Consider the following 24899-nt stretch of genomic DNA (forward strand, 5'->3'; position numbering starts at 1 on the left):
GAAGGAGCAAAAGTCTTGACTAAAATGGCACTTTTAAAAAAGCATTTCTTTTCATAGTTTTTAAATGGTTACTATATTATATATAGGCTATATGTTGTATGTATCAAAACCCATCGCTCCATAGATTCTTTACAAAAATATGATTCACACTTTTAAGTTTTTACACAATAAACTTGAAAGAGGGGGCAACATGTTTTTTTTTTTATTAATAAACTTCATTTTTTTAAGGCAGTTTTAGGTCCACAGCAAAATAGAACAAAAAGTAGAGAGAGTTCCCATATATCCTCTATATCCCCCCACCCACACGCACACAACCACCCCCACAATTGACATTCTGCACCAGAATGGTACATTTACTACAATCAATGAAACTGCGTTTACACAAAATTATCACCTGAAGTCCACAGCTTACATTATGGTTCACACTTGGTGTTGTATGTTGCATAGGTTCTCACAAATGTATGACATGTATCCACAATTGTAGTATCATATGGAGGAGTTTCATTGCTTAAGAATCTTCTGTGCTCTGCCTATTTATACCTCTCTCTTTCCTAACTCCTGGCAATCAGTTATCATTTTACTGTCTCCACAGTTTTGTCTTTTCCAGAATGTCATACAGTTGGAATTAGGCATTATATAACCTTTTCAGATTGGTTTCTTTTACATAGTACTATGCATTTAAGTTTCCTCGTGTCTTTTCAGGGTGCAATGTGTTTTTTAAATAAAATATTCTAAAATCTAATTCACATTTAATTATAGAGTGGGACATTTAGATGATTTCTCTTTTTACTTTAAAACGTACTAATTAAAATTTAATAGACACTTTTATCAACAACTGTTACGCTGAGGATCTTTCTGTGGGATAATTTGCCTACATATATTAATTGTTAGAATTGGCAGAGATAAGTTTCTAAAGGCTGTCTTTGAATGTTAAGGACGAGCAGCATTTTTTTTATGTTTATTTTTTTTTCTTGAGACAGGGTATCACTCTGTCACCCAGGCTGCAGTGCAGTGGCGTAATTATGGCTTACTGCAGCTTCAACCTCCTGGACTCAAGCCATCCTCCTGTCTCAGCCTCCCAAAGTGCTGAGATTACAGGTGTGAGCCACCACACCCAGCCAAATCTACTCTTTTTTCAATGGGATTCTTTCATGCTCTACTTGTCACACACTTCTATCCACCATTTATGCACCCTTATTTTGTTTACTGCCTTATTCTAGGCAGTTTTCTTACATTCTTTTCATCCACTGACTATAACATGAAGTTTCTGTATTACTGAAAGAGAGATACAAGTAAAGTATCATTTTCTCCACACTCCAACCCCTACCCAGCAATTTAAAGTGATTAGTGTTCTCATGGAACAGTGTGTCCATTAATTCAATTGGCTTTTTGATGCAAGGCTGTGCAAAATACTCAGGATACTAAGGTACATCAGAAATAATTTCTGCCTTCAGGGAACTCACATTCCAGTGTGGGAGAGAACTGACAAGCAAACAAAGGACCGCAGCAGTCCCTCACAGGCTGTAATTAAACTACATACAACTGCCATCAGAATCTAGCTTCAAGAATAACTAGCAGCAACATGTAAGATAAACCTTAGAAGTTAAATGAATATAACAGGTAGACAAGGAAGGAAAGGGCTTTTAAGCCAGGGCTGTAACCAAGGGGTTCATGGTTCCAATTCAAGGATTTGAAGATTTGGTTGGGAAAATAGTTTCATCTTTATTTTCAGTAACCTCCAGTTCGAAATTTAGCATTTCCTTCCATTATAAATTCAGGCCACAAACTGGAGTAGTATTGGCAATATTTGTAACTTGTCACCAATAGAATCACAGATATATTCAACTCACATTGCAGTTGATTCAGATCCTTGAAATATTTACTATTCACTACTTTGAAATTACAGTAGTTACAAGGCTCACTGTAAGACCTTATTATTTATTGCATTAACAAGGAAACAATATAACACAACTTTGTGTTCCTAATATTTTGATAACTATATATTAACATATTGGGGTTTCTTTGTAGCAATGTGTATGTTGATGCCTTTAAATACATTATTCTTAGATTTCCCAGACAGTCTAAGATATGCATTGCAAAAGAAAAAAATGAATAATTAAATAAGGTCAAGAATCCTGCTCTAGGCAGAGGGAACAAAATACACAAAGACACGGAAGGTGTAAAATATGAGGATTTGTTCAAAATTAAATCCCCAGTGCTGTCTTTTCTTTATCCTGACTTTAAGTTCTGCCCGCTCCTGTCCTCTTACCCTCTTGCTGCCACTCTTCCAGTTTGGCACAGCTGTCAGTCTTGCCTTCTTCCACTCTATTTTCTTCACTGTCTTCAAAACGGGTCCATGTAAAATGCCACGATGCTTGTGCCGCTGCTACTTAGGTTGAAGGTGGTAAGGAAAGTCTGGCCTGCTTGGCCTTCATCTGATACTCTCCCTCTGTCCCCGAGGCCCCTCTGTGGAGTCTTGGACTCCCTGGGATGCAATCTGAAAGCCTGGAAGAGAAGTGTGGCCTTCAATATCCTCCAGGGGGCGTTCTTTACCTCTCCATCTGCATCTCCTACCCTATGCCTCCCGGAGCTCTGAGTCTCTCGCCACAATGAATCACTTTTTAGTCTTCAAAAAGCTCACCCTTCTGGTACAACCTTATGCCCTCTTTTGCCTCCAATAAACAGGCTACTTCTTCTGCCTGGGACAATACCTCTCACCACCCCTTTTTCCTGATTAATTCCTACTTAGCTGTTAGATGTCACTTTAGAGGTTTCTTCCGGGAAGCTCTCTCTACTTCCCCCAAGAATATCGCCTTATTATGTGCTGTCTTAACAGTATTTACCTTCATTTTATCATTGAATAGTAATAGACTTTTGCTGGTCTGTGTCCCACAGAATGCTGCACTGTCTTTTCTGGTTGGCACTGAGCCATTCATTACTCACTGTTTAATTCCCCACATTGTAACTGACATATAGCAGGCATTCAGTGGTTTTACCGGTGAGATGAATGAAGCTGGAATTATTGTCCAACCTTACATCAAGAGAAGGATCAGAAGCCAAGGAAAGGAATTTGGACTTCATCTTCCAGACCTCTAGGTTTTTCAAACTATTAGTTATAATCTGTTACTAGATTGTAAGATTAATTTAGTGGTTTGCAATAATTTCTTGTGTTAAATAAAATTTTGTAGAACAGAACAGAATAGAATAACATAGAAAATATCAAAGTGCATCACAAGTAGCAGGAGTAAGTTTGTTTCATAAAACTTTTACTTTAGTTATATATATTATGCATACACGTGCATATCTTGAATAAGAATGTGTTTATTGAGTCCTGATGTGGAATGTTTTTATTCCAGTGGGTCATGTTAAAAAGGTTCTAAAGACACTGTAACCAGAGGGGATCCACGGAAAGTCTCAATCAAAGGCATGATATGACCAGATGTGTGGTTTTGGAAGTTTTCTCAGACCGTAGTGAGTGTTTGTTTGTTTAATAGACAGGGTCTTGTTCTGTCACCCAGGCTGGAGTGCAGTGGTGCGATCATAGCTCACTGTAGCCTTGGACTCAAATGATCCTCCTGCCTCAGGCTCCTGAGGCAGCAAGCCTCCCTGAAAGCACCAAGGATTTTTAGGGCATAAAATGACTATGCATGATACTAGAATGGTAGATACATGTCATTAGAAATTTATCCAAACCCCTAGACTGTACGACACCAAGAATGAACCCTGTAGTAAGCTATGGACACTGCATGATAGATGTGTAAATGCAGGTTCATCGATTGTAACCTACAGGCCTTATTTATGTAGTTAGGACTGTCCCAGATAGCTGTGACTACAGGCCCAAACCAGCACACCCAGCTAACATAAAGTGTGTTTTGACTGGCGATGTCTCTGGAGGCAATGGGAGCAATTGAAAAACTACCACAGTCAACTGGGAAATGATGACAAAGGCAAGGCAGTGGGATGAAGAAGAGGGTGGAAAGAAGAAATGTTCAAGAGGAATAATCAAGGACTTTAGTGACTGATTGGGTGAGTTTGTGAGGGCGGCTGAGGTGTTAGTGTTCAGGCTGTTAACCAAGACCAATGCCAAAACGAGATTACCCACTAGCAACACCAAACGCCTGCAAGGATGTGAGCAACAGGAAGTCTCATTCATTGCTGGTGGGAATGCAAAATGGTACAGCCACTTTGGAACACAATTTGGTGGCTTCTTACAAAACTAAACACAATCTTCCCATCTGATCCTGCAATTGGGCTCCTTGGTATTTACACAAAGGAGTTGAAAACTTGTGTTCATACAAAAACTTCTATCCATATGGATGTTTGTAGAAGCTTTATTCACAAATACCAAAACTTGGAGGCAACCAAGATATCCTTCAGTGGGTGAACGGATAAACTATGGTACATACAGACAAATAGAATATTATTCATCACTAAAAAGAAATGTGCCATCAAGTCATGAAAAGACATTTAATGAAACTTAAATGTATGTTGCTAAGTGAAAAAAGCCAGCCCAAAAAGGCTACATACTGTATGGTCCCAACTACACAACATTCTGGAAATGGTAAAACTATAAAGACACTTAAAAGACAAGTGATTGCCCTGTGTGGTGGCTCACGCCTGTAATCCCAGTACTTTGGGAGGCTGAAGCTGTTGGATCTCCTGAGGTTGGGAGTTCAAGACCAGGCTGGCCAATGTGGCAAAACTCTGTCTCTACTAAAAATACTAAAATTATCTGGGTGTGGTGGTGGGCACCTGTAATCCCAGCTACATAGGAGGCTGAGGCCAGAGAATCACTTGAATCTGGGTGGCAGAGGTTGCAGTAAGCTGAGATCACATGGCTGCACTCCAGCCTGGGCAACACAGTGAGACTCCATCTCAAAAAAAAAAAAAAATCAGGGGTTGAAGGGAGGGAGGGATGAACAGGCAAAGCACCAGTGACTCTTAGGGCAGTGAAACTACTCTGCATGACACTAGAATGGTGGATATATGTCATTATAAGTTATCCAAACCCCTAGACTGTACAACATCAAGAGTGAACCCTATGGTAAGCTATGGGCACTGTGTGATAATGATGTGTAAATGTAGGTTCATCAGTTGTAAACTACAGGCCTTATTTATGTAGTGAGGACTGTCTAAAATTAGCCCATGAATCACTGTCTCTAAGCATTGTTGTTTGCTGAAGTATTAATATTAATGATACAAAGAAATTATAAAACTGATAAGAAGAAAATTTTTAGCATGTGTTCCCTAGAGCTCAAAGTTGGTTAATGTCACTCTGGTGGGCAATGTTGTTAGTGGGGGGCTATACCTGTGTGGGGGCAGAGGATATATGGGAAGTCTCTGTACCTTCTATTCAAATTTCTTATGACCCTAAGAATGCTCTAGAAAAACTAAGTCTAAAAAAAAAAAAAAAAGAAAAAAGAAAAACTAAGTCTATTAAAAAGGTGGGGGATTACCTGCAAAGTATCCTTATGGAATTTTATGGTAACATCTAAAGAGATCTAGAGTTTGAGGGAGCAGTCTAGACTGGAGGCATTTTCTTAAGAAGACATTTATCACTCATGTTAGTCTGGGTCCTCCCAGAAGCAGACTCCAGGACAGGATTAAATTTACAAATATTTCTCTAGGAGAAGTCTCTGTGATAGAAAATGTAGGGGGGTCAGGCATGGTGGCTCACGCCTGTAATCCTAGCACTTTGAGAGGCTGAGGCAGAAGGATCGCTTGAGCCCAGGAGTTTGAGACTGGCCCAGGGAACATGGGGACATCCCTGAAAAAAAAAAAAAAAAAAGAAGGCCAGGCTCTGTGGCTCAAGCCTGTAATCCCAGCACTTTGGGAGGTGGAGGCGGGCGGATCAACTGACGTCAGGAGTTCAAGACCAGCCTGACCAGTATGGTGAAAACCTGCCTCTACTAAAAATACAAAAATTAGCCGGGCATGGCGGCACATGCTGTAATCCCAGCTACTCAGGAGGCTGAGGCAGGAGAATCACTTGAACTCCGGGGGGCTGAGGTTGCAATGACCCAAGATCACACCATTGCACTCCAGCTTGGGCAACAGAGCAAGACTTGGTCTCAAAAAAAAAAAAGAAAAAGAAAAAGAAAAGGAAAATGTAGGGAGAGAGGAGGGGCTGGGAAAGCCAGCTGTCAGTGGAGCAAAGGAGCAGGTGGATAGAAGCCAGTTTAGCCTAAGGTAGGTGCAACAAGAAATTTTTAGATGTCTCAAGCCAAAGTCATCAGTCAGAGGAGTCCCATGGAATAGGACTGCCCTCTAATCTCCAGCATGCTCAGTCCCTGGGCCCTCAATCAATCACTCTCACTCAGTAAAGATCTGTGAAGTGTATTCTCCTGACCACCACCACACTTTAACAAATACGTCTTATTTTAATATATACACATCAGTGTAAACAAAAGTTCAACACAATAAACTGTTCTTTGCCATCATGAAGTTCTGAGGGGCAGTGCATAGCTTTGCGTCTCTTGGCCACGGTTTCAGACCTTTCCTCTTCCCCTCTAGATGTCTCTGTAGTTCCTGATACTCAAATACCAGCTATTTAGGGATTAACAGATAAACCTATTCTTCATGCATTGCTGCTACATTGCTTTTTTGCCTACATGTCTTAATCTGATACTTCATTTAAAAAGCAGGATGTTTTGACCAGGCGTGGCAGCTCATGCCTGTAATCCCAGTACTTTGGGAGGCCAAGGGAGGTGGAACACCTGAGGTCAGGAGTTCAAGACCACTCTGACCAACATGGCAAAACCCTGTCCCCACTAAAAATACAAAAATTTAGCCAGGTGTGGTGGCATGCGCCTGTAGCCACATTTATTTAACCTTCCTAAGCTTTATTCTTCTCACCTATGAAATGGGGTAACAATAGTTGCAACCCTATAGTATTGTTATAGTAATAAATTATACATATGTTATATATACATAACAAATAAACATCTGTTTATATATGTGCTGTATGTTATATGCATATTTATATTTATATATATATACAATATTACACAGTGCCTGGTGTATGGTAAGCACTCAAAAAATTAACCATAATAATAACTATTGGCTGGGTGTGGTGGCTCATGCCTGTAATCCCAACAGTTTGGGAGGCCAAGCATGGAGGATTGCTTGAGCCCAGGACTTCAAGACCAGCCTGGGCAGCACAGGAAGACTATGTCTCTATTAAAAAAAAATAATAATAAATATTAATAACATCATTGTTTTTACCTCCCTGCTATTAGACTTACTCCCCTTTTTCATGTTAATTAATTAATTAATTAAAGCTTTCCTAAAGTATTTCCTGATCTTTAGGAATCTCTCACATAATTGCTAACATTTTTTTGGCACCCACTTTGGGCACCTTTATAGTATTTGAAATTTGACAGCAGGTGGCAGAAAACTCAACCAAAATTAGATTTTTAGTTGTTGTTCACATTACAAGAAGTCTAGGGCTTGGGTAGTGGCCCCATGGTAGCGTCATTGTTCCAAATGCTTCTTTCTTCCTGCCCTGCAATCCTCTGGGCCATAAGATGGGTTTGGCTTCTTTGGCATAACATTCATGTCTCAGGAAGGAAGACGAAAAGAAGACAGAAAGGATGGAGGCCAAGGACTTCCTCCTCTCAAAGGTTTACCATTCCATTCAAGGAAGCAAATCCTCGCCACAGATGTTCACCCACATCTAACTGGTCGTGATTGTGCCAAATGACTACCTCTATCTGGAAAACAAGCTGGGAAATCAAGTACTTTTAGTTAGAGAGTGTTCTCACCTCAAACAGAATCAGGGTAATGTTTTGAAGAAGGGAGAATGAGTATTGGCAACTAGCCATGTCTGGTACATGAGCTCATTTAATTCTATTTTAAAATGACAGTCTGTCCAAGATCCAGTACTATGGACTTGAATCTAGAATTCCATAATTGAGGTAATGGGTACATCAGAGCCAATGTCAATTAAGTAGGAGGAAATAAATTATACTAGTTTTTAAATTGAATTGATTGATTCATTTACGCAAAACCTCTGGATGCTAAATAAATGTAGCAACTGATGGGCTGCATTATCCCATGCATAAATTACCCATAACTAGCCAGTTAAGCAGTGTTTGAAACTGGCTGCTTATTAAGCCACTTTATTATGCCATTACTACAGTATATGAAATTATATTCTATGTTTCTGAGTAGGGAAAAGAACCCACACAGCTCGTTGCTTATGTGTTACCTATTTTCATTCAACAGTCTCAAATCCTTTTTCAGAACAAAGCAAATATGAATAAACAATCTGGTAACATGTAATTCATACAATTTAATAAGCATTGCAAATGAGAAAGGAGAGTGTTATTTTCATTTCTTCATATAATAATTACATCCTCTCTTGCAAAGCCCTCACTCATCTGGAAGAATTATATAATGTTCTCAATTTACCATAGGTAGTCAATGCTTAGCCTGTGTGGTATGTAGATGTATATCTTAGTTTCAGGACAGGACTGCATCCAAGCAATTTGAATGTGTCAGGTATGAGTGTCGTCCTATAGTTATTTAGGCCAAGCTAGGAAGAAGGCGGAGTAATAGTGGACTAAGGTATGGCCAAGACATAAGACAAAAATAAAATTTACTGTTAGTTTTTATGTATTAGATTAGTAAACTAATAACTAATGATAAAAATTTACAGCAGCAACTTCTTTACTTTATCCCTTAATTATTTGATGTTTCTTAGTCTTAGGTGTCGAACTAGATTTTAACCTCCTGAAGAATGTTTCTGGTCCCACATAAAGCACTTAACACTACCTTGGGCAATGCTTATTGATTAACTGAAAGATGTATTTATTAAAATTTTCAGTGTTAACTCCTAATTGCCAGTAAATTCTCTTTCCTTTTTCTCTTGAAAAAGTAGTAATCAGCCAAGTTCTTTTTTTTTTTCCTTTGAGACTGTGTCTTGCTCTGTTACCTAGGATGGAGTACACTGGCACACTCACGGCTCACTGCAGCCTCAACCTCCTGGGCTCGGGCGATGCTCCCACCTCAGCCTCCCGGGTAGCTGTGACTACAGGCACACACAACCATGCCTGGCTAATTTTTGTAGTTTTTGTAGAGATAGGGTTTCACCATGTTGCCCAGGCTGGTCTTGAACTCCTAACCTCAAGGGATCCACCCGCCTCAGCCTCCCAAAGTGCCGGGATTACACACCGAGCCCGGCTGTAAATTCTCTATAGCTCATGCGAATCCCTGAATTAAGGCCTTGAATGAACTTTAGGATATAAAGTTAGGATGATATCCTTTAAAGTTAGATGACTTTTTAATTTTTTGCGAGTACACGGTAGGTGTATATATTCATGAGTTATATGAGATATTTTGATAAAGGCATGCAATGCATAATAATCACCTCAAGGTAAATGTGGTATCTATCCCTTCAAGCATTTATCCTTTGTGTTATGAACAATCCAATTATACTTTTAGTTATTTTAAAAGGTACAATTAAATTATTATTTACTATAGTCACCCTGCTGTGCTAGCAAATACTAGGTCTTATTCATTCTTTCTAACTACTTTTGTACCCATTAACCATTCCCACTTCCGCCTCACCGCAACCCCACTACCTATCCCAGCCTTTGGTAACCATCCTTCTACTCTCTATCTCCATGGGTCCAGTTGTCTTTTTAGCTCCCACAAATCGGTGAGAACACGTGATGTTTGTCTTACTGTGGCTGGTTTATTTCACTCAACATAGTGACCTCTGTTTCCATCCATGTTGCAATTGACATGATCTCATTCTGTTTTATGACTGAATAGTACTCCATTATGTACATGTACCACATTTTCTTTATCCACTCATCTGTTGATGGATACTTAGGTTGCTTCTAAATCTTGGTTATTGTGAATAGTACTGCAATAAACATGGGAGTGCAGATATGTCTTTGATATACTGATTTCCTTTCTTTTGGATATATACCTAGGAGTGGGACCGCTGTATCCTATGGTAGCTTTATTTTTAGTTTTTTGAGGATAGGTGACTTATTTTTAAGCAAGCATAATTAAACATAAAATATGTTGTCCTTCAAAGTTGAAGCTCCAGGAGATCACATGCTTGTTGAACAATAATGTAATTACTCAAGGCATCGACAAAACTTTTTGCAATTGCTTTTAAAGCCAGTTAAAGAAATACACAAATGAAACTATTCACATTACTTTATAAATTCAGCTAATTATTCCCCCCACAGAAAAAAAATATGTATGGTGGATCATCTACTTTATTTACTGTATTTGTCTTTAGATCACTCTTGCTTTGCTAAAAAAAAAAAAATTGCTACTGAAGGAAAAATTTCCAACTATTAAATAAACTAAAATAAATATGATATAGGATTTTTCTAATACATTGGCTCCATCTTGAGAAATCCTAAACTATGTACACAGGCCTTATTTACATAGTGAGGACTGTCTATAATTAGCTCATAAATCACTCTCTCTAGGCAGTCTTGTTTGCTAAAGCATTAATATTAATAACACAAAGAAATGATAAGAATGATAAGAAGAAAAATTTTAGCATGTGTCTCCTGGGACTCAGAATTGGCTAATGGCAATGATGTTTGTAAAAATATCATCACCAGGGGCCATAGAGGTTTAACCGAATGTAGATAGGAGAATAACTAAATTATGTAGCTATAAGCAAACATCTAGGTAAAACGATGCGTATTGAACACACATGATTAGCTCAAAGCAATCTATTTGGCTTTAGATTGTGCAATGGAAATGTCTTTCCACTCAGTGTTAAAAACTTCTTTGATAAAATACATGTTTTTAGGGTTGTTAACATAGATTTCTAAAACAGACTAGGTTTTTGAAATTAACTAGAATAATTCGTTGTTTCCTACAGCTTGAACCAGCAGAGAAGCTCACTTTGTGCAAAGATAACATGACCTCTGTAAGGCTGCCTGTCTGGCTTCTGCTGCTTTTTCAGCAACAGTCGGTAGAGAGGTTTCTGGAAATCGGGAAGACCAAATCAGAACCAGGGGCCAACTAAGGCTACCATCATGGCAGAACTCTAAACAAAACAGTAACTACAAAAGACTTTGTTTTATCTGTGAAACTCAATGGTAAGCTACTTGAGGATGGTGACCACCTAGGTCTGACATGTCAGGCAGCTGCTAATTCCCACATCTTATCCTTGGACATTTCTACAGTCAAGCGACTAATGGGTTTCTTGGTTGTGAAGTAAAGTTAAAATTCTCGAGCTTTTGAAATATTCACTACCATATCAATCAACTAAAATTTTACTTGGCTTTAATGTTGTGTAACATAGAGAGGGTACACTTCTAATATGACATATAATCTATCTTGTAATTCATTTACCTTATTCTATTTTTGAAAAATTCATTTTAATTTTCTCCTGTTGTCACAACTCCCTAACCATCTCAATGTGTAACAAAATGGGAAATGCAATTCTGAACATATGAAATACAGTACTACAAAATACTATTGGCATGGTGAAGTACTTAGATCATAGGATTTGGAGTCCAAGCTCTGCCATTTACTATGCAACAACCCTCAATAGATCCCTGAACTGCTCTTAGCCTCAGTTTTTCCTCTCCAAAACATGGAAATAATAAATAGTAATGTCTACTAAGGTAATTAGGAGGACTAAATAGTGTATATAAAGGAGTATAGGCTGGATGCAGTGGCTCACACCTGTAATCCCAGCACTTTGGGAGACCAAGGTGGGTGGATCACGAGGTCAGAAGATTGAGACTATCCTGGCCAACGTGGTGAAACCCCGTCTCTACAAATAATACAAAAAAAATTAGCTGTGCGTGATGACACCTGCCTGTAATCCCAGCTACTCAGGAGGCTAAGGCAGGAGAATGGCTTGAACCAGGGAGTCAGAGGTTACAGTGAGCAGAGATCGCACGACTGCACTCCAGCCTGGTGACAGAGCAAGACTCTATCTCAAAAAAAAAAAAAAAAGAGCATAAGAGAATTTGCAGGGAGGGGTAATGGAAATGTTTTATATTGTGACGGTAGTTACGTGTACTTATTAAACTGCACAGAACTACATACTAAAAAGTATGAGTTTCACTGAAAGTCACATGTACCTCAATAAATCTGACTTTAAAAAATAAAATTTAAAAATGCATGTAAAGTACTTAGTACAGGTTTGACACTAAGTGCATAATGAATAATATGATAGTGATATGTGGCTGTATTAATATTATGAAAAACTAATTTCTCTATTGTCACAGTAATAGTTCCCCCTATAGTTACTAAATTTCTACAGTTCGATGCAGTGAATTGAAGATCAAATCCAGTATTCCCTATATTACTCTTCTGTTTCTAAAATGTAGAAGAAAAGTGCAAAAGGAACAGTCAAAGCGTAGTTCTAGCTATGGTGTGAAATATTCCTTTACTTAATAAGGATCTATTTTACTCCCATTGAAGGCCCAATTCTATGAGATGCAGAGATATATAAAGTAGATACAGGCATTTCCCCAACTTAAACACTTTATCCATTCATTAACTCCACGAACATTTATTAGACACCTATTATGTGCCAAGCACTTGTTAGGTTCTGAGAATACATTTGGGGTTAGGGAAAAACAATCTCTGCTCTTTTTTTAAAAACAAAACAAAACAAAACAAAAACGAGTTCTGAGGCATTTGCTTCTATTTATATATTTATTTACTTTAACTTTTATTTTAGGTTTGGGGATGCATATGAAGGTTTGTTACATAGGTAAACACATGTCACGGGGGTTTGTTGTACATACTATTTCATCACTCAGGTATTAAGCCCAGTACACAATAGTTGTCTTTTCTGCTCCTCCTCCTTCTCCCACCCTCCCACTTAAGTAGACCCCAGTGTCTGTCGTTTCCTTTGGTTTTCTTGAGACGGAGTCTCACTCTGTCACCCAGGCTGTAGCACAGTGGTGCGATCTCGGCTACTGCAAATTCTGCCACCTGGTTCAAGTGATTCTCCTGCCTCAGCCTTCCATATAGCTGGGATTACAGGCGTGTGCCACCATGCCTGGCTAATTTTTGTATTTTTAGTAGAGATGGGGTTTCACCATATTGGCCAAGCTGGTCTTGAACTCCTGACCTCAAGTGATCCGCCCACCTCAGACTCCCAAAGTGCTGGGATTACAGGTGTGAGTCACCCCGCCTGGCCTGTTTTCTTCTTTGTGTTCATAAGTTCTTAACATTTAGCTCCCCAAACTTATGAAGATGAGTTTTAATCCAAGAATTACATAAATAAATATTAAAAGTAACAAAAAATAAGTACAGATAGATTCCTGACTTGGAAACATTCACACAAAAGAATGGCTGACCTGAAATTCCAGAGAGATGAGAGTAAGCCAAGCATTTTCCTTTTGTTGTGCAGATAAGAAGGTAAAAAATATAGAGCTGGCCCTCCATATCCATGGGTGCCACATCTGTGGATTCAACCAGCCACAGATAAAAAAGTATTTGAAAAAAAAAATGAATGCACTTGTACTGAACATGTACAAACTTTTTATTGCCATTAGTTCCTAAATGATGCAGCATAACAACTATTTACATAACTTTTACATTGTATTAGGTAATATAAATAATCTAGAGATAATTTAAAGTATACAGGAGGATGTGCATAGGTTATATGCAAACACTACACCATTTTATAACAGAGGCTTGAGCATCTGTGGATTTCGGCATCTGAAGGGGTATCCCCACAAATACCAAAGGACAACTGTAATCTTAAAGATAGGGAGCTTCCTTCTGGGAGAGATTTTCAATTTTGAGTTCAAAGCATGTGATCTATGGGCAATTGGGAATATTTGAATATGGGCTTTATGTTAGATGATGGCACTGTATCAACACTGAGTTTTCTGAGTGTGGTAATTGTTTTATGTTTGCATAGGAGATTATTCTTGTACTTGAGTGGACCCATATTGAGATATTTATGAGTGAAGTGTCCTGATGTCAGCATATTACTTTCAGGTAATTCAGCAAAACTAATGCTGAGTTGGAGAGAGAGAGGATTTAACATTAAAGTGGCAAGATTTTAACAACTGATGAGTTGGAGTGACACATATCTGGGTGATCATTGTAGTAATTCTCTTTCTCTCGTTTTGTATCCTTCCATTTCCCACTTCCCTTCCTTTGCTAGTGTTGTTACTTATTTTACTTTTATACATAATTCTCTCAATGTGCTAAACAGTCAATTATCTTTTTAAAAAATTTGCAAATTAGAAAAAAGTCCTTTGTAGCCACCCATATACATCTGCTCCTCAACTTATCATGGAGTAATGTCCTGACAAACCCATCGTAAGTCAAAAAAGCATTTAAGGCACATTATCTACTGAACATCATAGCTTAGTTTAGCCTACCTTAAAAGTGCTCAGAACACTTACATTAGCCTACAGTTGGGCAAAAATCATCTAACAAAAAGCCTATTTTATAATAAAATGTTGAATATCTCATGTAATTTATTGAAAACTATACTGAAAGTGAAAAACAGAATGGTTTTATGGGTTCTTGAAGTGTGGTTTCTGCTGAATGCCTATCACTTTTGCACCATTGTAAAGCTAAAAACAGTAAATTGAATCATCATAAATCAGGGACCATCTGCTTTTGCCGTTTGCGGCACTTTTCATTTTTTCATGTAGGCCCAAGTTTTTGACATCACTTTCCTTTGCCAGAAGCACTTCCTTTAATAAAGTGCCAGGTAGGCTGGCGCGGTGGCTCACACCTGTAATCCCAGCATTTTGAGAGGCTGAGGCAGGTGGATCACGAGGTCAGGAGTTCAAGACCAGCCTAGCCAACATGGTGAAACCCTGTCTCTACTAAAAATACAAAAATTAGCTGGACATGGTAGAGAATTGCTTGAACCCAGGAGGCAGAGGTTGCAGTGAGCCAAGATCACGCCACTGCACTCCAGCCTGGGCAACAGAGCAAGACTCTGTCTCAAAAAAAAAAAAAAAGTGCTGGGTATCTTGTAGTGCAGGGAGAGATACTGGTGATGCATTCTGTTAGATTGTGTTTGATTAAATACATCCTTATTTTTGTCTTCATTTTCACAGAATATTTTCACTGGGTATAGGTTGTCTTTTTTTTTTTTTTCCTTTAAGCACTTTAAAGTTGTTCTATTATTTTCTAGCTTGCCTAGTTTCTGGCAAAAAAAAAATGTATTTATTCTTATCTTTTATCCTACACATACAATATCTTTATTTTCTGCCTTCTTTAAAATTTTTCTTTTCATCACTGGTTTTCAAAAAATTATTCTGAGGTGGTTTTCTTTGTGTTTATTCTATTTGTGATTCACTGTGCTTCCTGCATCTGTGGATTTATGCTGTGTATTAAATTTGTAAAAATTTTGCCATTGTTTCTTCAGATTTTTTCAATCTCTCTTGCTCACCTCCCTCCTTTCTCCCCCAACACCCTCTCTCTCATTCTCTCTCTTTTTCTTTCTTTTCAAAAATATTTTCTTTTACCCAGAAACTATCTGTAGAGTTTCTATTGCTATTTCTTCAGATTCGCTGATTATTTCTTCTGCAGTGAATAATCTATTGTTAATCCAATAGTGATTTTTTTATTACCAATATTATATTTTTCACCTTTAAAGTTTTTACTTGAATTATACTTATGTCTTTACTTTCTCTGCTCATTATGTTCATGCTTTCCTTTAAGTCCTTGAATATATTTATAATTGTTTTAAGTTCTTGTCTGCTAGTTCCATTATCTGTCATTTCCGGGTGAGTTTCTATTGACTGATTTTTCTTTTGCTTATGGGACACATTTTCCTCCCTTTTTATATGTTGGGTAATTTTTGATTGGATGCTGAACATTGTACATTGTATTTTGTTGAGGGCTGGATTTTGTTGTCTTCCTTTAAAGAGTTTTAGATTGTTTTTCTGAGATGCAGTTAAATTACTTTTAAACAATCTTCATGTAGAATGTTGAAGTTTGTTTTGTTAAACTACTTATGGATCAATGTGATGCTTTGGGGGCTTGTTTTTAAACTTCTTTTTTTTTAGAGCAAACCCTTTGCTCTGGGTTAGTTTAGCCGCTCTACTGTGTAACCCCTCTGTGGTCTCTGTTGAATTCCCCAGTGTTCAGTGTGGACTCATTACTCCTGTTGGTCAGAGTCTCCCAGAACATCTTCCAGTCTTTTTTTTTTTTTTTGAGACGGAGTCTTGCTCTGTTGCCCAGGCTGGAGTGCAGTGGCACGATCTCAGCTCACTGCAAGCTCCACCTCCCGGGTTCATGCCATTCTTCTGTCTCAGCCTCCGGAGTAGCTGGGACTACAGTCGCCCGTCACCACACCTGGCTAATTTTTTGGTATTTTTAGTAGAGACGGGGTTTCACTGTGTTAGCCAGGATGGTCTCAATCTCCTGACCTTGTGATCCGCCCGCCTTGGCCTCCCAAAGTGCTGGGATTACAGGCGTGAGCCACCGCACCCGGCCCATCTTCCAGTCTTGTGTGAGCTCTGGGAATTACTCAGCCAACTGGCTGCTATTTGCTTTTTGCCCTCCCTTGTGGAGTTTTACCTTACACAGACACAAGTTGGTATTCTGGAGCAGATGCAAGGCAACGTCTATGCATATTTCTTGATATTTTTCTCTGTATAGCAAATAAGGAATTTGGACTCACTATATGTTAAAATGACTCTATGGACTAGTCAATGAAGAGAGTCACTACATATATCTGTTTCTATGAGACAATGTATTTTACATTTCAAACAATTGACTTTAAAATATGGCTAATTTGTAATTTGGAGACTTCAAAAATATGACTTTGCTTTAATAATATAGTAAAAGAGAATAATCCTCTAGTATCTGTATCAGTTTTCTATTGTTATATAACAAATCACCTCAAAATTTAGTGGCTTAATTGAATAGTATCTTTCCAATAAAGTATAATAAGAGTACTATGAAATGTTTTTGACGTGAAGACCAGTTCAAGAATTCCCTGTTCTATCTATCAAAATGATTTAATAATTTTTAAATAGATTTTTAATTCACCTAATGCAGGTAAACACTTTGCACCTTTTTTTTCTACTTCATCTTAGAAGTGATTTTTGTGTTTTTTTTTTTCTATAATCTCATTAGAGATGTTACAGCTAATTTGGGCTAAGATGCATTTTCTTATTAAGTAGCTTGAACATAATTGAATCTTTATGTAGTAGTTCAGATTTTTCATTGCTTCCATTCATTGTATATCTCTGAGGTTAAGATACAAAAAGTGCTCAGAATTGGTTTGGTTGTTTGTTGACTTCATGCTAGGTCATTATTTTTTTTTCAACAAATATTTAAATTTTTATTTTATTTATTTTTTAATTATTTTTATCCTGGTTTCGTGGGTAACAATTTTTTTTTAGTCTCTTTTTTTTATTATTATTATACTTTAAGTTTTAGGGTACATGTGCACAATGTGCAGGTTTGTTACATATGTATACATGTGCCATGCTGGTGTGCTGCACCCATTAACTCGTCATTTAGCATTAGGTATATCTCCTAATGCTATCCCTCCCCCTTCCCCCCCACCACACAACAGTCCCCAGAGTGTGATGTTCCCGTGGGTAACAAATATTTTTAGACAAAAACAAAATCCTGGTGCCTTAAAACAACACTACTGCTATAGCTTATGATTCTGCTGGGAAGTCCTCATCTGGGACAGTCTCAGCTGATCTCTAATGGGCTCTTTCACGTGTCTGCAACCAGTTTGTGGCTTCATTGGCGGCTGGCTGGTCTCAGCTAGCCTCACCCTTATTTCTGATTGTTGGCTCTGTTGGCTGAGGATGATGGGGGGTGACTTGGCCACACAGATCTCCTCATTCAGCTGCCTACTCTAGGCACATTCACATGGCAGCAAGATTGCAAGGGAAGCAAAGAGGTAAGGCCTGGGGTACAAGCATTTCTCAAGTTCTGTTTGCATTACATTTGCTAATGCTTCACTTGCCAGAGTAAGTCTCATGGCCAGCCCTGAATTAACGAGTGAAAAAATAAACTTTGCTTCTTTATGGGAAAAATATTGTGGACATTTTAATAATCTACCACAATGTCAACTTAAATTCAGATAGAAACTATAATAGAAGGTTAGAGAAAGAAAAAAAAATCTGTGCAGGTTGGAGAAAGTTGGCCTCTTGGAAAAGCAAGGGAAATTTTGAAATGGATCTCGGATTGCTAGATAGAGGGAGAGGAGTAAAAGGAGATCGAGACCATCCTGGCTAACATGGTGAAACCCTGTCTCTACTAAAAATACAAAAAATTAGCCAAGCGTGGTAGCGGGCGCCTATAGTCCCAGCTACTCTGGAGGTTGAGGCAGGAGAATGACTTGAACCCGGGAGGTGGAGCTTGCAGTGAGCCGAGATCGCGCCACTGCACTCCAGCCTGGGAGACAGAGTGAGACTCTGTCTCAAAAAAAAAAAAAAAAAAAAAAAAAAGCATTATAAGATAGAGGTCTCGGCCAGAGCACAAAGCTTGAACATAGAAATCACATGACCTTGGCCAAAGGGCTAATACTCTGCCCAGATACCCTTCTACGTCTCCAGCTGCTGTACCTAGCCTCTGTTGTATGTAGGCTCTCCCTTACTTGCAAGACACCTAAATGTTCCTGTTGCCCAGGATTTTATCTTTGTTCCTTTTTTATTCTTATTCTGCACATTTGCCCTGGGGGATTTCATCCAATTTCATGGCATCAACTCCCACCTATCCAGTGATGATGTCCAAATCTACATATGTAGTCCTGAACTATGATCTCTAGAACCATATTTTTCAATGAGTTCTTAGACCTCTCTGCCTATATAGACGCCATATCTCAATGTGTTTAAAACTTAATTTATTTTCATGCCCAGAGAACCTGATCTTTCTTTCTCCTATATTTCTGTTTTTTAGTTAATGGCTTTTCTTCCATCCATTTAGCTAAGCTGGAAACCTAACCTCATAGTCATCTTTGATGGCTTCTTCTTCACTCACTACAAGTCCTGGTGATTCCATCTTCTACATGTGTCTTGTGTCCATCCCCTCCTCTCCATTCCTATCCCACTGCCTTGGTAGGGGATCCCATCACCTCTTACCTGACCTCTTGCACCAACCTCTTAGCTGGTCTCCCTCAAATAGTTTCACTCTCCTAGTTTCTTCCTAGTTCACTCCATCCAGGGTACTTTTTATAAAACCCAAGTTTGTTCGTGTCACTCCTCTACTTAATAATGTAAGCTGGGTCCCTGGTGCCTACAAAACTGAGTCCAAACTCCTTAAAAGCATGACTTACCAAGTGCTTAGCAATCCAGTAAATCTTTACTGACCACTCCCCTTCCTCGTTTCCAAACTACAGACTAAGTTAGTAATTTTTCTAAACCCCCATAAAGCCTTGTACATATCTCCACTGATTCTTTTAGTCTTTGATATATATCATCTATGCATGATTTATACCTGATTTTACCAGAATCACTTCCTGCCACTTTGCCCCACCCCATCCCTCTCTTCTCCAGCATCACTGAGCTTCTGATTATTCCTCACCAGCAATGCATGTCCTTTCACAAGCCTGGGCCTCAGCCCATGTTGTTTACTCTTCCTGGACTGTCCACCCTCTCTTCTTCATCTAGCAAATTCTTATGCATTAGTTAAGCTCATAAACCTGTCACCTCCCTGCTGATGACTTCCTTGAGCCAATCAGAAGAGTTAGTCATTTCTTCTGTGTTCCCGTAGCCCTTTGCCCATTCCTCCAGCAGTCACCACTGTTCACACTTTTGGCTGCCTTGCCTATTTTGAATACCTCCATTATGTTTGGCAAATTTTAGCCACATGAATTCCATTTCTCTGAGGTAGAAGCCCCAGATCCCAAATTTCCCTTGTAGCTAGGAAACAGTTAAATAACTTAGGCTCTTCTAATCAGATGTACCTGCAGGGAACTTTTTTGCTTGAAGTGAGCAATACATGCGCTGGTAATGGGTGTGAGGCAGGAAATTAATCTTCTGGTAAGATGGGTGTGAAGAGGCCTTTGATCCTTGGGGTGGCCAGTGGCAGAGTGGCTGTCATGTAGCCCATAGTGCTGAGAGATGGTAAGAGTGGTGTTTGTCAAAACAGCTACCTGGAGTGGTTGAGGATGCTTGGGCTTCAGTCTTGCTGTTTGGCTCTGTCGAATATTCTATGGGCCACCTAAAATCCCGTGGTAGGTTAATTTACTGCCTAAATAAGTCTGAGTGGATTCGTTCTTGCAGTGACTGAAAAACAACAACTGACCCACATTGGTTAGGACACTTACCAAGTTTCACTATTCATGTTTTCTTAAGTATCTGTCTCTCCCACTACATTACTCTCAGGTACTGTGTCTTATCCTTCTATGCAGAGTTCTACTTTCTTAACTCTTATAACAAATACATGTTGAGTGCCTACACTGCGCCATACGCTGTGCTAGTCATTGAGGACATAATTGAGAAAAAGAGACTTGTAAGATTTTTTCTTATGAAGTGTACAATTTAAAAAATCTGTCTGAGACCAGGCATGGTGGCTCATGCCTGTAATCCCAGCACTTTGGGAGGCTGAGGCAGGAGGATCACTTGAGCTCAGGAGTTCAAGATCAGCCTGGGCAACATAGAGAGACCCCATCTCTTAAAAAAAAAAAGAGAAAAAAAGACCTGTCTGAAACATCCTAGGTGTCCAACTGAGTGAGTACACCAATTCATTTGATTACTTACTTTACTTACTGGACATTTGCGTCTGGAAAATATAAGAATAAATGAGAAATGTTCTTAAGTTTCTCTGAGGCTAATAGGAGATATAGAAATGTAAACCAGTTTGATGCAACCTGAAAGGTGTGATAACAAAAATATGTTTCTGATTCACTGGTGGCACAAAGGAGGGGTGGAGTGAAAAATTCTGCTTGGAAAAGCCAGGAATGAAAGACTAAGTTACTGAACGTAGAAATATTTTTGAGTGTGCATAAAGATTTCTTCTTGTCCCTTTTCCCCCTTTTCTTCTCTTTTCCCTTCTTCCCTTTCCCTTTTCTTTGCCTTTTCTTACTGTTCCCTTTGCCCTTTAAGGTTCAATCCAAGGGCCATCTTCATAGTAAATCTTTACTGACCACTCCCCTTCCTCCCTTCCAAACTACCACGCTAAGTTAGTAACTTTTCTAAACTCCCCTAATACCTTGTACATACCACCACTGATTCTTTTAGCCTTTGATGTGTGTTTGTGTACATATATATGTATATCACATGATATATATATCAGATGATTTTATATATATATATATATATATATATATATATATATATATATATATATGATATAATCTATGCATCTGTCATTGCCTCCTCCCCCAAGTCAGGGCCTGGCACATAATTAGTACAGTACTCAATAAGTTCAATAACTGTTTCTTGAGGAAATATAAATTAAAACTGCAATGTGATACCACCACATCCCCATCAGAATGGCCACAATGAAAAGGATTGTTAATATCAAGTGTTGATGAAGATATTGAAAAACTGGAAATTTCAAACATGCTAGAAAGAATATAAATGGGAAACTTTTTTGGCAGAATTCACTAAAGCTGAACATATGCATATTGTATTACCCAACGATTGAACTTCCGGGTATAAGTATCCAACAGAAATGAATGTGTACATCTCAGAAGGTTCATATCAATTTTATTCATAATAGCCCCAAACTGGAAACAACCTAATGTCCATCCACAATAATGGATAAATGAATTGTGGCATATTCATATCATGGAACAGTATACAATAATTTTTTTAAATGAAAAACTGCTATGGGTCAGGTGCAGGGGCTCACCCCTGTAATCTCAACACTTTGGTGGGAGGCTGAGGCGGACAAGTCACTTGAGCTCAGGAGTTCGAGACCAGCCTAGGCAACATGGAAAAACCCAGTCTCTACAAATGTACCCCCTCCAAAAAAAAAAAAAAAGCCCGGTCCTGTGGTGTGTGCCTGTAGTCCTGGCTGCTCAGGAGGCTGAGGTGGGACGATCACTTGTGCTCAGGTGGTCAAGGCTGCAGTGAGTGCAGTGAGAGGTGATGGTAACAGTGTACTCCTACCTGAGTGACAGAGTGAGACCCTGTCTCAAACAAAACAAGACAAAAAACTGCTACAATATAAGCAACAATATAGATGATTTTCACCGACTAATATTGAGCAAAGCAAACCAGAAACAGAGTACATATTGTGATTTTCCACTAAAATGAAATTCCAGAAAAGGTCAAATTAATCTCCAGCAAAAGAGGATGAAATAATGGTTAACTTTTACAGGTGGGAGGGGTAATGTACTGGAAGAGGACAGTAGGGAGATTTTTAAAGTTTTGAAAGTATTCTATATTTTTATAATCATATATATTTACCTATTATTATTATTTGAGACATAGTCTCATCCTGTTGCTCAGGCTGGAGTGCAGTGGCGCCATCTCGGCTCACTGCAACCTCTGCCTCCTGGGTTCAAGCGATTCTCATGTCTCGGCCTCCCGAGTACCTGGGATTACAGGCGCACCTCCACCACCACGCCCAGCTAATTTTTTTTTTGTATTTTTAGTAGAGAAGGGGTTTCACCATGTTGGCCAGGCTGGTCTCAAACTCCTGACTTCAAGTGATCTGCCTGCCTCGGCTTCCCAAAGTGCTGGGATTACAGGCGTGAGCCACCGCTCCTGGCCTATAATCATACATTTAAAAGCCACATACGGAAGAATTTTCTAGGACAATGTCAACTCTCCATTAAAAAACTTTTCACACCCCAACCACATAAATATGTAAAAATTTGAGTTTTACCCTTATGATTTGTGCATTTTACTGTCTATAAATTACATCTTGATAAAAATGTAAATAAAAACAAATAAAAATGAATGTTCCTTGAATGAGTGAATAAACGAATGAATGAGTTGTGTTTTCAAAGAGGAAAATAAAGACATTACCGTGAAAGAGGATCTTGTACTGCATTGAATTTTTAAGTAGTGCTTAGTTCTTGCACTTTCTTTGCTCTAATGATGCCCAAAATAATTGTTCGTTTACTTACTTTGCTTAAGTATTAATTTCCTTTGCTATTTAGCCACGACTGTGAAGTTAAGACAAGAAAGTCATCAACAGTAATGCAGATGATGTAAATACCTTGTGGGACTGGCATTTAATTTACTGCGAGGGATCTATTAAGCTCTTGGGGAATTGGGGAATATGCCTAATTCCCTTCTGGCGTTTTTAATTTTTTTAATCCTTTTGTGTTTTATGAGATGTGAGTACAAATTAATTATTCAGACTCTTGAGAGAGGAGACGAGTTGGCGGAGTTGCCACCCGTGTTCACGAACAGGAACAGAAGCCACCAGCACATGACATTGCCCAAGCCACCCAGAGATCAGAGTGGAAGAGTCCTAATTGCTGGGCGGCCCAGCCCCGGGATGTGCCTCTCCCATCCTTCTCCAGGCGGGGCTCGTGGCTAAGCAGCGACTCACCCTGCCAGCCTGTCACAGGCCAAGAGCGGCCAACAACTCCGCAGGCGACAATGGCCGCTGCACCCCAGGCGCTGTGGAAGCCCGACCCGGCTCTGGGTCCCATCTTAGAGCCTGGGATGCAGTGTCGGGAGTCGCGGTGCCCAGAGCATCCAGTAGGTGTCGCTGTCCCACGGCCGCCGCGCGCCCCCGGGGTGGGGAGCCGGGGCGTGTCTGCCTCACCTGGGGCTCCCGGCGCGAGCGCCTCACCTGGGCTAGCGCCCCTTGCCGCCCGCGCCGCGCGGGGGCGCTCTTCCGCGGCTGGGTCCCCGCCTCCGCCCCAACAGCTCGGGCTGCAGTGCTGCTCGCGCTGCGCTGGGTGCTGGTTCTGCAACCCGCGGCCGTCCCCCCGCATCCGCGACGAGGGGGCGGGGTCCCACGGCGCGCTGAGAAAGGCGGGCGAGCTGGCGCTCAGGTGTGTTCTTCCATAGGGCCCGGGCGGCAGAGAGGACCGCGTCCCGGCAGTCGGAGCGGGAGGAGGACAAGACGATGCCGCTGTCCCCGCCAGCCCAGGGCGACCCCGGGGAGCCCAGCCCGTGCAGGCCCCCTAAGAAGCACACCACCTTCCACCTCTGGCGCTCCAAAAAGAAGCAGCAGCCGGCGCCGCCTGACTGTGGGGTGTTCGTTCCGCACCCGCTCCCGGCGCCTGCCGGAGAGGCCAGGTGAGCTCCTCGCCCGAGCCCTCCAGTCCCACCTCCTCCTCCTCCTCCTTCTCCTGCTGCGCTAGCCCTTGGACTCCTGACCCCACTTGGAGGAGGGGAAAGCCCCGGGGTCTGTTTCAGTCCGCAGGAGGGTACCCGGGTCCGGAGGGGAGCGATCGTAGCCGCTGGGGTTGACGAGGTTCCTCGCGGCTTTTGGTTCAGACCAAGCACCGGCGAGAGGAACTTGTGCCCACGCATGTGGCCTTTAGTATGACTGCAAAGTTTTCATGCAGGAGCCTCCCGCATCAGCCTGCTAACCAGAGCGGCGGGGAGTGAGGGTTGTTACCGTCCTAAATGATGGCGGGAACTCTGCTTTGGGGTTAGGCACTGCTTTTGAGCTAGTGTCTTTATTGTAAAGCTCTTTATTGTGAATATCTGTAAGATCTGTGCTCTTACAGATGTTATACCCCCATTCTCCTCGCAACATACGAAGGGAGGAGGAAGTGGCAGGAATGGTTACCCCCATTTCATGGGTGGAGGAACTGAGACCAAAGGATAAATGGCTTCTCCCCATTGGAGCCAGTGGCAGAGCTAGAGAGCACCTAGTTATCAAAACTGTAGTTACCATTGTGCTTTTTGATTTTTATCATGGTTTTGAAGTGGTTTTATTCTATATGTATAATTATTCAACTATAGCATCAGAGTTTATGCATTCGTTGAATAATAATCAATTTGAAGTAACAGCGTATTTACATGGCTCAGAGGTGTGAAATATTTATAGTGATGGACAATTGACAATGTCCAGTAAATCCTTCCAAA

General features: G+C 40.1%; 1 protein-coding gene across 2 annotated transcripts in view, besides 3 other annotated features; it reads left to right on the forward strand.

Annotated features, from left to right (window-relative positions):
• Positions 23538-23747: a silencer, noted in NCBI's record as "silent region_17431". NCBI's record gives its function as "represses an Ori minimal core promoter by ATAC-STARR-seq in GM12878 lymphoblastoid cells {active_cell/tissue: GM12878}" and the evidence as "EXISTENCE:reporter gene assay evidence [ECO:0000049][PMID:35858748]".
• Positions 23737-24899, forward strand: part of CRYBG1 (crystallin beta-gamma domain containing 1) — a 211301-nt gene continuing 210138 nt past the window's right edge. For both annotated transcript variants that reach the window (XM_047418270.1, NM_001371242.2), the window contains exon 1: positions 23737-24101. In XM_047418270.1, the coding sequence (XP_047274226.1) occupies positions 23929-24101 (173 nt within the window). In that variant the 5' untranslated portion in view covers positions 23737-23928. The remainder of the gene's footprint in view (positions 24102-24899) is intronic.
• Positions 23743-24609: an enhancer, noted in NCBI's record as "H3K4me1 hESC enhancer chr6:106808598-106809464 (GRCh37/hg19 assembly coordinates)". NCBI's record gives its function as "activates a minimal SCP1, AML or CMV promoter by ChIP-STARR-seq in primed H9 embryonic stem cells {active_cell/tissue: H9 hESC(primed)}" and the evidence as "EXISTENCE:reporter gene assay evidence [ECO:0000049][PMID:30033119]".
• Positions 23768-23847: a silencer, noted in NCBI's record as "silent region_17432". NCBI's record gives its function as "represses an Ori minimal core promoter by ATAC-STARR-seq in GM12878 lymphoblastoid cells {active_cell/tissue: GM12878}" and the evidence as "EXISTENCE:reporter gene assay evidence [ECO:0000049][PMID:35858748]".

This window comes from Homo sapiens, chromosome 6 (assembly GCF_000001405.40).
Source record: "Homo sapiens chromosome 6, GRCh38.p14 Primary Assembly".
Classification (NCBI taxonomy): Eukaryota; Metazoa; Chordata; class Mammalia; order Primates; family Hominidae; genus Homo; species Homo sapiens.